At 34.3% G+C, this 16045-nt stretch overlaps 1 protein-coding gene and 1 long non-coding RNA gene across 9 annotated transcripts in view; one reads left to right on the top strand and one right to left on the bottom strand.

Moving 5' to 3' along the window:
- DPYD (dihydropyrimidine dehydrogenase) overlaps window positions 1–16045 on the top strand; it is an 843317-nt gene that overhangs the window by 117161 nt on the left and 710111 nt on the right.
- On the bottom strand, window positions 5848–6978 carry DPYD-AS2 (DPYD antisense RNA 2). Its single transcript, NR_046591.1, has 3 exons — window positions 6827–6978; window positions 6604–6684; window positions 5848–6431 (listed from the first exon to the last, which is right to left on the bottom strand). It is a non-coding gene; the product is annotated as a DPYD antisense RNA 2 (long non-coding RNA).

The raw sequence follows: 16045 nt of genomic DNA, 5'->3' as shown, positions 1-16045 counted from the left end.
CAAGTATTTTCTGAATTAACACTTTAAATTCATCAATAAAGATATCAGCACTTTTCATAAAAGTTATTTGCTTTGGTAAAACTAACCATGTAACGCATGGTAATATATAAGCATAATGAAATATAACCCTAAGTCATAGTTTACAGGAGTGAATTTCAAGACTGCTTTATATACAAGGAAATTTTAACTTTTCAGCCATATTTCATTTAATAATCAGAAGGGGAACTTTGTAGTCTTTTAATAATGAAATATATGCTGTTAATCTTTTTCTTAAAAAATTGGAGAAGTCACATTTTTCAAAATATTTCTCATCTCTCTGTTTTTTGTGTAGTCCCATTTCATAGATACTTGGATAGAAGTATGTGTGTCCATATTTTCATTCTCTGAATATACATTCAATCATGTAATTAAGAGCAATCACCATTATCAGTAATTTTAAAACACCTTTTTGATTAATGTCTCAATTTTTTTCTGTCATACTATTTTTACCCATGACAAATGATAATTCAGGAATATATGTAAAGGAAGAGCATGAAACAAGATTATTATAGTAACTTAGTGATATATTATAAAGAAGAGTATTTCCTGTAGGGTAGTCCAATTACAAAATAGTAAAACAGGAACAAAACACAATAAAGTGTTTTTCCTATTTGTTTCAGTAAGTTTAGCACAGCAGGAGTCGTGGCATTCCTCCTGACTGGTGCGTCAAATCGGCAGTTTGAAATGTAACTGCAAATGGGAATTATTTTAAAGACACCATATATAAGCTAATAACCTTAGCCATATAAATGAGATAATTATACAGTATTTAATATATTTAGTTTCTTTTCATTGTAATAATTTCATACCTTCAGTTTGAGAGAATATGTTCATTTTGAAAGATTAATAAACTTTTATGTTGAAGGCATGTAAGAAGTAAACTTTGAATCATTTAAACTTTGCCTGTATCAGTTTTTTGCTGGTATCTGTTTCTTGCCAGTTCAGTTTAGTTTGAGGAAAAGATGTTGTGAATTAAACGAACAGCAAACATCACAAAAAAATTGACATAGGATCCAATAGAACTTTTGAAAAATAGTCTGAAATTACTTCAGGACAACATCTTGGACTATAGCATAGGAGAAAAAGGATTGATTTTGTGGATTTGTGGAAATTTGACACTTTTAATGGCAAGAGATCTAGGTTTTAGAAAGTTCAACCAAGGCAAGAAGGATAAGTGGGAGAACTGGGACTTCTATACTAAGGGAGGATAAGATCTCAAAAGTCAGGTGTCTCTTGACAGTGAATCTTGAAAAGATATAGTTGGGAGTCTTGGTAAAATAAATATCTGAGGGATAGATCTGAGGCCCCAAAAGGAAAATTGTGCTTTGAGTAGTACAAGCTGCTTCTGACTCTGTGGTTCCTTATATATTTCTTATTGTGTAAGTCCAAAGTTCCTACTGCAGAAGAGGTGACCCTAAAACAGTGTGAGAATGTGCTGAGTGATTGCTGGTAGTATGGAGCATTATACAGTCTGCAAATGTGGAGACTGTAAAATGAGTTCAGACAGGAACTTTTAGTCTTGCCCTCTGACATTTTGGCAGTTCTTATTCAGGCAGAAGAAAGATTTGTCTTAATTAAGGCTTATGTTCATATGTTCATAATTAAATAGTTTTAAAAACCTGAAAGAATTTGCTAGAGCCAACTGTCAGAATTGTGCTGTATCCAACTACAAATTTATCTGGAAGGCATTTCACTGCCAAGCTTTTTGAATATGTAGTCTGAACAGCGTGACTCTACGTCTTTACCTCCCAGTCATACCTCAACCCACTACAATCTGGCTTCTTTGCATCATTTTTTCTGTTAGACATAGTGCCCTTTACAAAGTAAAAGCTCAATTGATATACTGATGAATTTTAATTTTAATTTCTTATTTATATTTTATATCCTACTTCTAAAATATTAAAAGGAGATATGTTAAGTTTGTATGAAAATTAGACACTACTAGTCAAATAATAAAATAAATAATCTTTATCACATTTTAAATTAAACAATTGAGACAAGAACTACAGAAATTGGAAAAAAACATGCTAAGCAGTGAATAGTTACTGCACATGGTTGAAATTTCAATAAGGGAGAGGAGGCAAACCATAAAACAGTTTCACAGAATACAGGAAAAAAGAAACACGAGAGAGAAAAATAATGGGCCTTTCCATTTGCTGATCCCTCTGCCCTCAGATATTTGCATGCCCCCAGATACTTCCTCTCATCCTTCAGTTCTTTCCTCAAATGTTACCTTCTCAGGTTCGCCTTTTTTGGCTACCATATAAAATTGGAATTCAACTTATAGCATTAACACTTCTTATCCATTTTTCTAATTTATTTTTCTTCTGAGAACTTACAACTATCTAATATACTATATATCTTACATTTTAAAAATCTTTAATGCATCTCTCTCAGTAAAATATAAGCTCGTGGCAGGGCCATAATTAGTGACATAAGCTGTATCCATTTGAGGAGTAGGAACAGAAGCTAAATTGGTGTTTTGGTCAGTTTTGGCTGCTATAGCAAAATGCCATCAATGGATCGCTTAAACAACGAACATTTGCTTCTCACAGTTCTAAAGGTTAGGAGTTTCAGATCAAGGAGCCAGTAGAGGTTCTTGGTGAAGGCCCTCTTTCTGACTTTCAGAGTATTGTCTTCTTGCTGTGTCCTCATATGGTGGAACGAGATTAACTAGCTTTCTGTCCTCTTTTTAGAAGGACACTAATCCTATTCATGTTGGCTCCACCATCATGACCTCATTACCCACCAAAGGCTTCCCACTGGGATTAGGGCTTCAACATGTGAATTTTGGTAGGCACAGACATTCAGTCCATAACAATTGGAATAGGTTGTAGAATGAATGGATGGATGAATGCAAAGAAAGGAAATGGAGATTGTCACTATAGATGACAAACTTTTTCCTACTTTTTGGCTGTGCAGAGGAGGAAGGAGATGTAAGACTCAGGGAGAAATGTTATCAGATTGGAACAATCAAAAATAATTAAATGGTATTAAGGAGGCTCCAAGAAACAACAGAAGAGATGAAAGTTAAAAGCATTTGACTCTACAGAAGGTGGAAGGAGATGGAATCTAGTTACACTTGTGGGGATTCCTGTTTACTGGGAGGAGGGTCAGAAACAGCATCATGATAACAGACAGAAAAAAAGACAGTGGCAGTTACAAATAGGTCCACAGAGATGGTGGCAGCACTATTTGGGAGTGCCACTTGAAAACTTTGTTTTGTCACAGAAGTAGAAAGAAAGGTTATCTGGTGAGGAAGAAGGAATGGAATAGGACTGGCTTGGAAATTGGAAGAGAAAGAGGAAAGTTTTAATGAGTTATTCTGGGGAATGGGAGAGTGGGAGTTTGACCAAAGAAGTTAAGTTCCATTGCTGTGCAGTGTTGAGAGCTCGATCTGTGACAGAGGTTAGACCATGAGGCTAGTTTTCTGCATAGGTTTTCACCGTGGACATGGATATTTTCATCTAGACTTAGGATATTCTAAGAAAGGCATGATGGAAGAACTGCAAGGGGGCTCTTTATAAAGAGTTATTTGAAGTGATGAAAAATAGAATTTGAACAGTAAAAACTTGAAGTAAATAGATAAGAAAAAATAAGAGAAGTCAATAATAATAATAGCTATAATTTGTTGCTCACCTACTATGTGCAAACAACTTTTCTAAATATTTTACATATATTTACTCAATTCTTGTGACACTCCTATGAAGTAGGTATTATTACTTAAATTTAAACTACCATTATTACTCTAATTTTACAGTTAATATGAAGACATCTACCTTTATACAAAAAATAAATGGCAAATATGGAATTTGAATGTTTCTATAGTCTAGTTCTTGTGCCTTCGCTAAAGGACTTTGCTACACAGAGATCCTGAGGAGCATAAATATCACTACTAATGGGGGAATTGAACAAGTGAAATGGGAGGTTTGGAGATGTGCATTGGAAGAGATGATGATTGAATTAGAAAATTCAGAAAGAACACACTTTAAGGTAACAACAAGGTTCTGTTCTAGGCAACGTGAACTTTCTTTCCCCCTGCTACCCTCCAGTGGAACAATTCAATGCTGCAGGTATAAAATACTTTACCTGCATTTATTGAAGATTATCTTTTTCATGTATCATTTTTGAGACAAAAAAAAGTTTTGATAAGACATTGAGATCTTAGTAATTTTGTTATGGATTTTTAAGAAAATGGATTAAAGTATTCTCAGTGAAAGCTCCATGGGAGAGCATCTTGAGGTAACAGTCTCAAGAAATGGGTCAGACTGGGATAAAGACCAAATCACAGAGTAGCAACATATGTTTATTTCAGGTTATGATAGATCACATAATTTGTACTTCACCTTTATTATTTCAGATAACTAGCATGGAGTTTCAGAAGGTGATTTTTTTTTCAGGATGAAAGCTTATTCATGCGGGTATATCTTTGGCTCTAGAAATTACTGTCATATACTCAGTAACCTTTTTGAAAACTTGCTGATTGATCATACAAATCAGGGTCATCATTTGTGTTTCTCAAGAAATACTGAAGCCACTCCAATAAATAAACTTCATGGTAACTTGTTGTTTTTACTTGATGTAATGTGACTGGCTAACCATTGTATAATGTCTCTGTGCTTCCATTTTGCATTCTATAGGGCTAGAGGAGGTGTACCACTGTGGAACAGTGTACAGGCTTCCAGGCTCACCTTGATATAGGAACAAGCTTGGCCTAAAGAAGTCAGTGTGGATGAAGTTTGGTGGAGGGAGATGAATTACAAGACTATACAGGACTCGTTTCCTTGCCATAGAAAGGAATATGAATTTTAATTTAATGATAAGAAGCAAGTAGAGACGTAATGTCTACCCCTTTTTATAGGTATAAAATGGAGATTCAGAAAGGTTCCATAATTTGAAGATGGGAGTCTCATAAGTGGCAAGGCTGGACTTTATACTCCTGTCTGCCTGTTACAATGCCTATTCTTTTTTCAATACCACCTTTATTATCTGGTACATAGATACTTAACAAATGTTTCTGAACATATATGTGCTCTGTGATACAGCAGATGAAACTTTAAATAACTGAAGTGAATACATTTAAAAATACTTTAGATGCATTTATTAAAAGATAACAATAACAACAAGCTTTATTTTGATCATTTAATTTTTCAATAATGTGTTAAATACTTTGTATGGATTATCTTATTTATTCTTAATAACAATCCTGTGAGGTAGGTACTATTATTATGCCCATATTGTACGTACATGGACAAATATCTTCACCTCAATACTGTGAGGTAGGTACTATTAGTATACTCATTTTATAATAACAAATATTGAATATTTAACAAATATTGCAAATCTATACTTAAAATGGGTAGAATAATAGTACCTGCCTCACAGGATTGAGGTGAAGATATTTGCCCATGGTCATACACTGAGTAAGTGATAAATTCATAATAGCAGAAACTATTTCACTATTTGCTTGATTGTCACAGGGAATTCTTTGAAACCATGTTTATATTTGTGGTTATTCTGTGTATGACTAGATGGTTATAAAAGTTTAAAAATTAATTTCATAGTTCACATTTTTAATTTTCTATAACAATTCAGAGAGACTATCCAGACATATGAATTAGGAGAATAATTCTGAAGAAATAGATGACACAGCAAAGGACTCTACATATAGGTTAGGACCATATTCTTGTTGGGAAGATGGCCAAAAAAGAATTTTGAGGATATTTTTTCAATTATTTAACAAATATTGAAAATCTATTATGTTCCACTTGGAAAAGAAAGAATTGGTGGGTAGGAGCCAACTAAGATCCAATAAACTTTTGTCTGTGACTTAACTCTTCTGAAGTTGTCAGAACGTTATGTTCCCCAGAGTTAGTTGTTTTGGTTGACAGAAATCTATGATATGCCAAATAAAGACTTTCTAGTTACTATTAACTTTGCCTTGCATGTAGAAAGAAAATATTACTCATCAGAACTTATCATAAATCTTAGGATGCAGTCATATCCCTACATATATTTTGATTATTTCAAAATCAAATATATACTTTAAAAAAGGCTTACTATGTTTTGAAGGGTTCATATTTTTTTTCTGAAAAATGGCAAAATAGTGCTGGCCTCATGATGCTTGGTTTAGTACAGGAACATACATACTAATATAAACAGTATGCCCAGCCAATTCATTATCATCCTGGAACTATATTCAGCCTGGCTACTATCATGAAAGATGAGTAGAAGCAGTGAGCTGGCAAAGCTGGCCTCTGCCTCTGGTTGTTAAGCTGTTGGCAGCTCAGGATGCATGACCTTTCAAATATACGCTTCTAATTCAGGACTTCTTATGATGTCATGTAGTTATGTTCTTCCCTTTTAGTGTATTCTCTCTTCAAAATTCTGTGCTGAAAAAAGGAAAAAAAAGAAATGTAAGCTACTATCCTTTTGGCCAAATGTTGAACTTTTCCTTCTGTAACTTTGTAGGTAGGAGACAGCAGAGTAACTGATCTTCCTACTGAAATGAATTTCCTTGAGCAAAATTATTTCAAAAAATATGTCTGGTATCTTTGTTTATACCTCAGGGTTGCCGAGCTGTCAGCTGCATGCCTGCTTTTCATTGAAGCATATGTATATTTGTGTATATATGTGTTTGTATGGCTTCCAATAGCATAGTAATAATTTCAGGGGAGGAAATAGAAAAGAAAGCAAGATAAATGTATTACATTTTTGTATTTCCTCCTTGCATTTTTTTAAAGATAAGACTCTGTTGTAAAATATAAACTGGCAATTTGATCATTACTTGTTATTCATTTGAACTAGTTCAGTCAACAGATAATGGACAGTGAACAGAGAGACCTCTTTTGGTAAGCCATGTAGTTTTTCCAGGGGTGATTGTTATGCTATGTGTATTTAGATAGAAGCTTTTCCCTGTGTAATCAGCTTGCTGCTGCCCATTTTACTGCCAAACATTCCTTCTCTATGGTAGCATAATACTGTTACCAAGGGAACAGCTTATGGCCGACACATACAGTAGTGCCACAAATTAATTTCACAGTTATCAGGATATAAGGTGATAACAGTAACGTGAGCTACTGTGAAATTACCATTGTTCCCACAGAGTTAGTGTAATTATTACTTTTGTGGTAACTAAGCAAATAATTCACATCACTACTCCTGGATGTTTGTTCTCTCTTCTCTGTCTCACCCTCCTTCTTTGTCTTTCCCTTTCCTTCCTATATTTTCCTCTTTTGTTGATTCAGACTCTCTCCCTGAGTCTCTTTTCACAATTACCAATTAATGTAGAGTATTTTTTATATTGGCATTAAGAAAGAGTTTTATTGAAGTGGGGTGAAGGCATCTCATATATGTAACTCATGGGCATAATTAGGATGTTCACTTCTATCAAAGATATAAAGGACTAAAACAGTGTATTGAGAGGATACATTCAATTTGTGATCAATGTAGACTCAGAGATTCCAGTTTTATTTTCATAGAATGTTAACTTCATGTGTTGAATAGAAGGATCAGTTTAATGTGATTAAAAGCAGTGGAGAAAAATTAACTTCCCTAATTAGCTGTGTTGCTTAGGACAAGGAAAACAACTTAGCTTTTTAGTACTTACATCTATAAAATTGGGATAATAATAATGCCTACCTAACAGAATTGGTATGTGGATTAAAAGAGATATGTGTGAAAGTGAATTTTAAACTGTACAATAAAAGTTTTAAGCTATTATGATCATTGTCATATAAATGGGGATACATCTGTAAAATGGGGTTAAGTATATTCACCTAACAGAATTGGTATGTGGATGAAAAGAGATATGTGTACAAATGAATTTTCAGCTGTACAATACAAGTTTTAAGCTATTACCATCATTGTTATATTTTAATGGAGGCATCTTTTGATGATAGCCTACCCTCATTATCAGAAAATTTATAAGGATAATTCAAAATAACAGCAGTAACACAGGGAAGAACACTTTTTATTGCATTTTATTATAATAAAAAGAGTGTTTCATTATACCTAGGGCACAACAAAATGAGATGTTATCATTATAAAATAACAGTAATTTTAATAATGAAATTTTCCAGAGAATGAGTCATATTTTTTATTGTTTTTATTGAGTATATGTATATGTTAATTAAAATTTCAGCATTGAAATATAAAATAATATAGGAGTGTGTATAGTATGTCCATTATTTTTTAAAAAGCTACAATGGTGAGTACATGTGAAATATGAGTTGTTCACTATGTCAAAAAGTGAAGTTGCTAAGACAAAGGTAAAATTATAGAAATGAGTTTATGTAGGAATGTTTGTTTTTAATTGCGTCAATGTGCATTATGATCTTTAGTCTCCATTCTATGTTATTTTGCTTTTAAAACGTATTTTATGTATTCTGTTAGCAAGATCAGCATATAGCTAACAGTTAGTATCAGTTACTAAATGTTGAGTAGTTAATTATGTATTTATTTATCATTCTAACACTATAAATTATACACTTTTAGCAGTTAGAAAATTGATACATGATAGAATAAAATAATTTGATGAAATTTGTAGCTAGGCATATTTGTTGAATGAATGAATTAAATATGGTGAATATGTAGTAAACTGCCTCCCATTGCTAAATGTCTTTTTAGAGAGGGTAGGAAATTAAAAATAATTATTTTCTCATGTAAATTTTTCTGCCACCCATTTTGAAGTTACCCAACACTGGTAACTTTACATAAAGAAGTATGACTTTAACTGGACTCTGTGCTCATCCCATTAGTTAAGACTGCTTTCTCACATTATTATTATTTTGGAAATAAGTAAAATTATTTTTATTTCCTACTCTTATTTGTTCTCTACAAAGAAAATCTAATGTGATCTACAAAAAGATACTAGAACAAACAAGATTAGGTATATTGCAAGATTGATATACAAAAATCAAATATATTCTAATCACTAACAACAAACAATTAAAAATTAAAACTTAAAGCAATACCATTTAAGATAGCATAAAAATTATACAGTACTAGGGATAAATCTGACTTGTGAAAGATGTGAAAGATATGTGTACTAAAAATCTATGTACCCTGCCCTGAAATAAGTGAAGCATGGCTTCCCACTTTTTAAGTGTGAAATAAGCGTGGTGACTTTTTTCCGAAAAGTATAATATGTAAAGAGTTGGAAAAGAGTAACTTTACAGAAGAGAAGCCTGAAAAATACTAACTAGCCAGGCAATCAAGATTGATATCAATGGTAGTAAGTCATGTTGATAATATGTACCCTTAGGTGAATGGAATCCAGGTCAAACAAGCTTTTTAAAATAGAGATTTAAAAACAAAACGGAAGTAATATATGTTAACTGTAAACATCTATGATCAGTCTTTAACGTTTTTAATTTGCTTTTCTATAATGGTGAATGATGCTGAATATCTTTTCATGTGTTTTATGCCATCTGTATGTCTTATTTGGTAATGTGTCTGTTTAGGACATTTGTTTATTTTTTTTGGTCGGCTTGTTTCTGTTATTATTTATTTTTGAGAGTTTAAACAATATTATGGATTCAAGTTCTTATCAGATATGTGCCTTGAAAATATTTCCTCCTAGTATGTGGGTTGTCTTTTCATTCTCTTAAGAATGTCTTTTGGCCTTGCCTGGTGGCTTATGCCTGTAATCCCAAAATTTGGGAAGGCTGAGGTTGATGGATTGCTTGAGCCCAGGAGTTTGAGGCTAGTCTGGGTAACATGGTGAAACTCTATCCTTACTAAATATACAAAAATTAGCTGGGCATAGTGGCGCATGCCTGTAGTCCCAGCTACTTGGGAGGCTGAGGAAGGAAGATCACCTGAGCCCAGGAAGTTGAGGCTGCAGTGAGCCATGATTGCACCACAGCACTCTAGCTTGGGCGACTGGAGTGACACCCTGTCTCAAACAAACAAACAAACAAACCAAACAAACAAACAAACACAACAACCAGGTGTTTTAAAGAACAGAAATTGTTATTTTTGATGAAGTTAAATTTATCAATTTCTTGTGCTATGATGTGTATTTTGGTGTCATATCTAAAAAAATCTTTGTCTACCCTAGGGTTGCAAATATTTTCTGCCATGTTTTCCTCTAGAAGTTGTGTAGTTTTGTGTTTTACATTTGGCTCTAGGTTACATTTCACGTTAAATTTTATATATGGTATGAGTTATGGTCAAAGTTTTTTTTCGTTTTGTTTTGTTTTTGTTTTTTTCATATGGGCATCCAATTGTTTTAACACCATTGTGGAAAAGACTCATTTCTCCACGGAATTGACTTTGCACTTTTATGAAAACCAGTTGTCAGTATATTTGTGGGTCTCTTTCTGGACTTTGTATTCTGTGGCATTGATCTTTTTTTCTATATTAACACTGGTATCATATTGTCTTCACAGTTAGTCTTGAAATCAGTTAGTTATAGTTCTCAAAGTTAGTTTTCCTTTTTATAAGTTGTTTGGCTATTCTAGGTCACCTGAAATTCCATATGAATTTTAGAATAAGTTTGTCTATTTTTACTAAAAGCATCTGCTAGGATTTTGATTGGGGCTGTGTTGACTTGATATATCAATTTGAGGTGAATCACCATCTTAACAAAATTGAGTCTTCTGACCCATGAACATAGTATAACTTTCCATTTTGTAAGGACTTTAAATTTTTTTCTCAGCATGGTAGTTTTTTAAAACATATTTTAAAACTTAGGAATAGTTTTAGGGTTACAGAAAAATAGCAGAGACAGTACACTATATAGAGATTTCCCACCTACACCAAGTCAGTTTCCTTTATCTTTAACATCTTATATAAATGTGCTTTGTCAAATTAATGAACCAGTATTGATACATTATTATTAACTGAAGTGCATACTTTATTCGTATTTCCTCAGTTTTTACATAATGTTCTTTTTCTGATTTAGAATTCCATCCAGGATACCAAATTATATTTACGTGTTATGTCTTCTGAGGCTTCTCTTGGCTGTGGCAGTTTGTCCAACTTACCCTGTTTTTGATGACCTTGACAGTTTTGAGGAGTATTGGTCAAGTATTTTGTAGAATGTGCCTTACTTAGAATTCGTCTGATGTTTTCCTCATGATTAGAGTGGGATTACTGGTTTTGGGAGGACAAGAACTAAGATGAAGTGTCATTCTCTTATTTTCATGAAATTTTATGGGCGTTTTGATGTGATTGAGGCTTAGTTTCATCATCTGTAAAGTGGAGATAATGATAATGGCATGCAGTAAACACTAAGTGAGAAAACTATGTGTGTAAAGTATTTAGCATTAAGAAGATCTGATGCAGACTAAAGAGCTCAGTAGCGGCCAGGCGCGGTGGCTCACGCCTGTAATCCCAGCAGTTTGGGAGGCTGAGGTGGACAGATCACCTGAGGTCAATAGTTCAAGATCGGCCTGACCAACATGGTGAAACCCCGTCTCTACTAAAAAATATAAAAATTAGCTGGGTGTGTTGGCTGCCTGGAAGCAGAGAGAATTGCTTGAACCTGGGGGGTGGAGGTTGCAGTGAGCCAAGCTTGCACCACTGCACTCCAGCCTGGGCAGCAGAGCAAGACTCTGTCTCAAAAAAAAAAAATAAAATAAAAAAATAAAAGCTCAGTAGCAGTATTTTTCTCTTTGGGAGATGGGCAAGGCCATATGACTAGTTTGGCGTCAGGAGTATCTATGATTAAGGTCTTCTTACTGCACTGTCCTTCCTTGTGTCTAATGGGCATACCAAAAATAGTTGTTAATGGAAATATCTTCACTCGGTACTGCATTATGACTATGCATAATAGAGTTAGCAGGTGAAAGGTTCTCTTAGAACAATTAAGAAGTATGAATCCATTCCATCAGCTAAAGCATTTAAAAATATAGTTTTTTTTTGTAATTGGTTTCTCAAACTCAAAATATTATGAGCACTCTGCTTCGCAGAGCAATAGGATATTGACAATATTTGGGTTTTTTTCTTTTTTACCCATTACTAACTTCCTTTCTATATTTCTACTTCTTTGTCTTTTCCTACAATGTAACATAAAAAAGATCCATTACAATATTGGTGCAGCTAAATATTTGAGTGCACAAATTTTAGTGATCAGAATAGCTTTAGACAGGTGTATAAAATGCTTGTTTTTTCTCTGTCCTCAGTGTGGGAAACTGAATAGGATAAATTAGGTTAGTCAATACACTAGCATTTAATTATTCTTTTTCTCAAAAGAAAGAAGTTTTTAAAGTAGTAAAAAGAACTGTATCTGAGGCCAGCTGATTCACAACCAGACCATCACATTTAGTTACTAGACTTAAGCATGGCTTCTCTGGAGACATTCTGTGTTACCAAAAATGCAAATTACTCCTTCAAAAAATTTACACATGGTACAAATTTAGCACACCTGTAGTATGAATCTACATTAGACCACAAAACTTGTTCCAATACTCTAATGCTACAGTTGCAAAAGCACATCATTATGGTTTCCAAATTAAGCAGAGGTTTCAGTGGTTTTAATTTTGTGAAGATGTTTTCCTTCCTGAATCATATTGTGAGTCTAGTAGTTCTTAACTGGGGGACTGGGTGTTCCTGTCTTTTGGAGGACATTTGGAAATGTATGGACATTTGGAAATGATTGTCACAATGATTTTTAGGTTCTCTGACATTTGATAGGAAGGGGTCGGAAATACAATACATCCCACAATGTTGTGGAAAGCATTTAATAAAAGGGAAGCATTAAATATTTCTTAAAAATGTGAATCATGCCACTTGAGAACTGTGGGTAATCCTGATGTCTTATGAGAAAAATCTGTGTTTATGTACATTATGTATTAAACTGTTATTTAGACATAACTTTGGATGAACCAACTGCCTTTTTTCTTACTGAATATGTAAAAATTAATAAAGAAGCTATAAGCTCAACAGAATAACTTATCTATTCATAAAATGTCTTTCAATAGTTTAATAGATAACTGGAAATTTATTTTTGATAGCAGCTTATACTAAAGCAAATAAGGACGTGAAAATTGTAGATAATCTTTAATCATGCTTACAAATTTGATTAAAATCATCTGTTGATTTTTTTTCCTAATTGAATCTTTTGAACTCAACAGAATGTCTTTCTAGTAATTCTACTTTTTCCAATATGTGACCTAACATGAGCCTAGTCTTTTGAAGAATTCTAAAGATGAGTGAAAAAGAGATGTGAAGAGAGTAAGAAATAATATCCAAATGGTGAGAACACAGAAAATAACCACACTGTTTTTACTTTTTCAACATATGGTATTATCCACATTTTGCAGAAAAATAGAATGTATTCAAGCACGTTTTCTGAGACAAATGTCAGAAAAGTAAGAGAACCATATAAATCACATTGTTGCAGACTATTCTGTGCCCTCCATGAAAACATTGTATTTTTGTTTGAAATGTGTAAATTCTGTAGAAAATCAGTTCTCTCTAGGGTCGTCTGGTGTAGAATCCTTCTGGGCTTTGTATCATCCTTTTCAATATGTTTAAGAAATAACTATTAGAGACTAAAATATTAGTATCATTCCTCTCTTTCTTATGCAAGAAAAGTGACCTCTTTTAGCAGCAACTTTTCTGTGTAAAAAGCACGTGATCTTGAAGTCAGCTGGGTCCATGAAGAGTATTCGTTTTGAACCTAGGCCAACTTTAAGACAGAATTGATCATTTTTCTCCAATACCAGAAAGAGTTTGCTCTTAGAAAATGGTAAGCAGTGTGGGGATTCCAGATGATTTCTTGAGGGAGGTAGATGAAAAGTTTACAACGTAGGTCCCAGGTTTCTGTTAATGTGGCTCCTCATTAGACTTGTTCCTTCCCCAAAGCTGCCCCACCTCCCACAAATACCTCAAGTGATGCTTTGCGGTTTTTCTCTGTTCTTTAACTTGATATTTCTCCCTTGCAATCTTGAAGGGCTTCGTTTTTTGTTTTTCAAAACCATCAATCTCTAAGTCTATCAAAGACTTAAAGCAGTATATAAATTAATCATATTGTGTTAAAGCTGCATGCTAATAACTAGCTGAGATCAGCTGTACTCAGAGGTTGAGCATTTTGATTTGAGGAAGGGAGCTGAGTGATTTGTGGACACGGAGTCTTTCAGGAGGTATATCTAAGAAGACATATTTATTTTATTCTTAATTTTGTTATTCAAATACTGCTTTTGAGAAAATTATGAAGTAGCAAAGGAACTTAGGCCAGCATGAGGTCATATGGGCTTGGAAGGAAGTGTGGGAGGTGAGAAAAAAAGCACAGAAAAAACAAGGCTATTTAAAATTTTCCTTATCATCTACAATAAATAATATGACTTATTTTCTGAGGGTGAAAGCCTAAAATTCATTTTCATAAACTATTTCCCAGAATTTAAACTACTAGAATTCACCATGCAGGGTTTTGTATCTTACTGATCAATAGTAAACATGCAAATAATAGCTTGTGATTCAATTTTGCAAAAGAAAGAAATGCTGTTAAATGATTGATGCTCCCAGTATAGTCAGAAGCCATATCATTAAACTGTGTCTCATATAAAGCATTTCTGAGGGAGGGTCAGCTCATGTGATTAGTTATATTTGCTTCTGAAATATGTAATATATGGATAGTGCTTTCAAATTTTAATACTGGGTAATTAGTAGATTAATTTTATACTCAAATTAGGGCTGTTATGTGGACATTAGCCAGATTCTGGGTCACTATGAATTTATTATTGAATGAAGGTACTAATGTGTACCCCAGTGCAGGTTATTTCTTGGGTTAAGGTTTTATTCAGCCACAGGTGTTTGCATTAAACAGCTTGTTCCCAGCACTTTGGGAAGCCTAGGTGGGCGGTAGATCGCATGAGCTCACCAGTTTGAGACCAGCCTGGGTAACGTGGTGAAACCCCATCTCTACAAAAAATACAAAAATTAGCCGGGCATGGTGGTGCATGCCTGTAGTCCTAGCTACTCAGGAGGCTTAGGTAGGACGATGACTTGAACCTGGGAGGCGGAGGTTGCAGTGAGCCGAGATGGTGCCTGGGCCATAGAGCCAGAGTTTGCTTGGAAACAAACAACAACAACAACAACAACAATAAGAAAAATAATACAGCTTGTATTTTTGCCTTTGCAATATTATTCAATCCTGGATGAGAATTCAGGGGAATTGCCTTTCTGTCCTTTATTAGCTGATTAGCCTTGGGAAAATCAGGTTGGATTCTATAGGCCTATGTACTCCTTGATCACTTTTTTCTCACTTCATGTTAGTTATCAATTGCTACATAATCAACCATTCCAAACCTCAATGGCCTAATGCAATAACAACTTATAATTTTTTGCAATTGTGTCAATTGGCTGGACTCAGTGGGTAGTTCGTTGGTCTTGCTTGAGCTCATTCAAACTATTTCAGTGATGTGGGAGCGCCGCTGATGCTGGCAGGACCAAGATGGTCTCTCATGTAGTTGACAGTTGGTACTGATCGTCAGCTAAGGTATCTGGCATCTTTCTTCTCTCTCATATGGCTTCTCCTCCTTTGGTAGGCTAAACTAATATCTTACAGCCTAGAGGTCTGGATTCTAAAGGAGCAAAAGTGGAAGTTACCAAGCTTCTTTAAAACCAGGTTCAAAACTGGTGCAGCATCACTTCTGCCATCATTTTATAGGTCATTGGAACTCACAAAGTAGTCCAGATTCAAGGGAAGGGAATGAAGGTCCCAAGTCTCTGTTAATGTGCCTCCTCTGTAGCTTTGTTTCTTCCCCAAAGCTGCCCCACGTCCTGCACATACCTCATGGATTGCTGTTGCAGCTCTCTATATATCTTCATGGGATAAATATCACGGACATACAGGGATGGGAGGGTTTATTGGCACCATCTTTGAAGTAAAGCTGCCACTTATTACAAATAAAGTAGTTTTCACATTGTGTTGCAATGGCAATTTAACCTGTCTACCTCTCTACTACCGTGTGATTTTTCTAGAGGAAGCTTTATTACTAAATCTTGTCTCTTATATGTATGCAGCAGGTGACCAATAAAGGTCAATGGTAGAGTG

This window comes from Homo sapiens, chromosome 1, assembly GCF_000001405.40.
Source record: "Homo sapiens chromosome 1, GRCh38.p14 Primary Assembly".
NCBI lineage: Eukaryota > Metazoa > Chordata > Mammalia > Primates > Hominidae > Homo > Homo sapiens.
The sequence above is the reverse complement of the archived record's forward strand: the minus strand, read 5'-3'. Positions and strand labels throughout refer to the sequence as shown.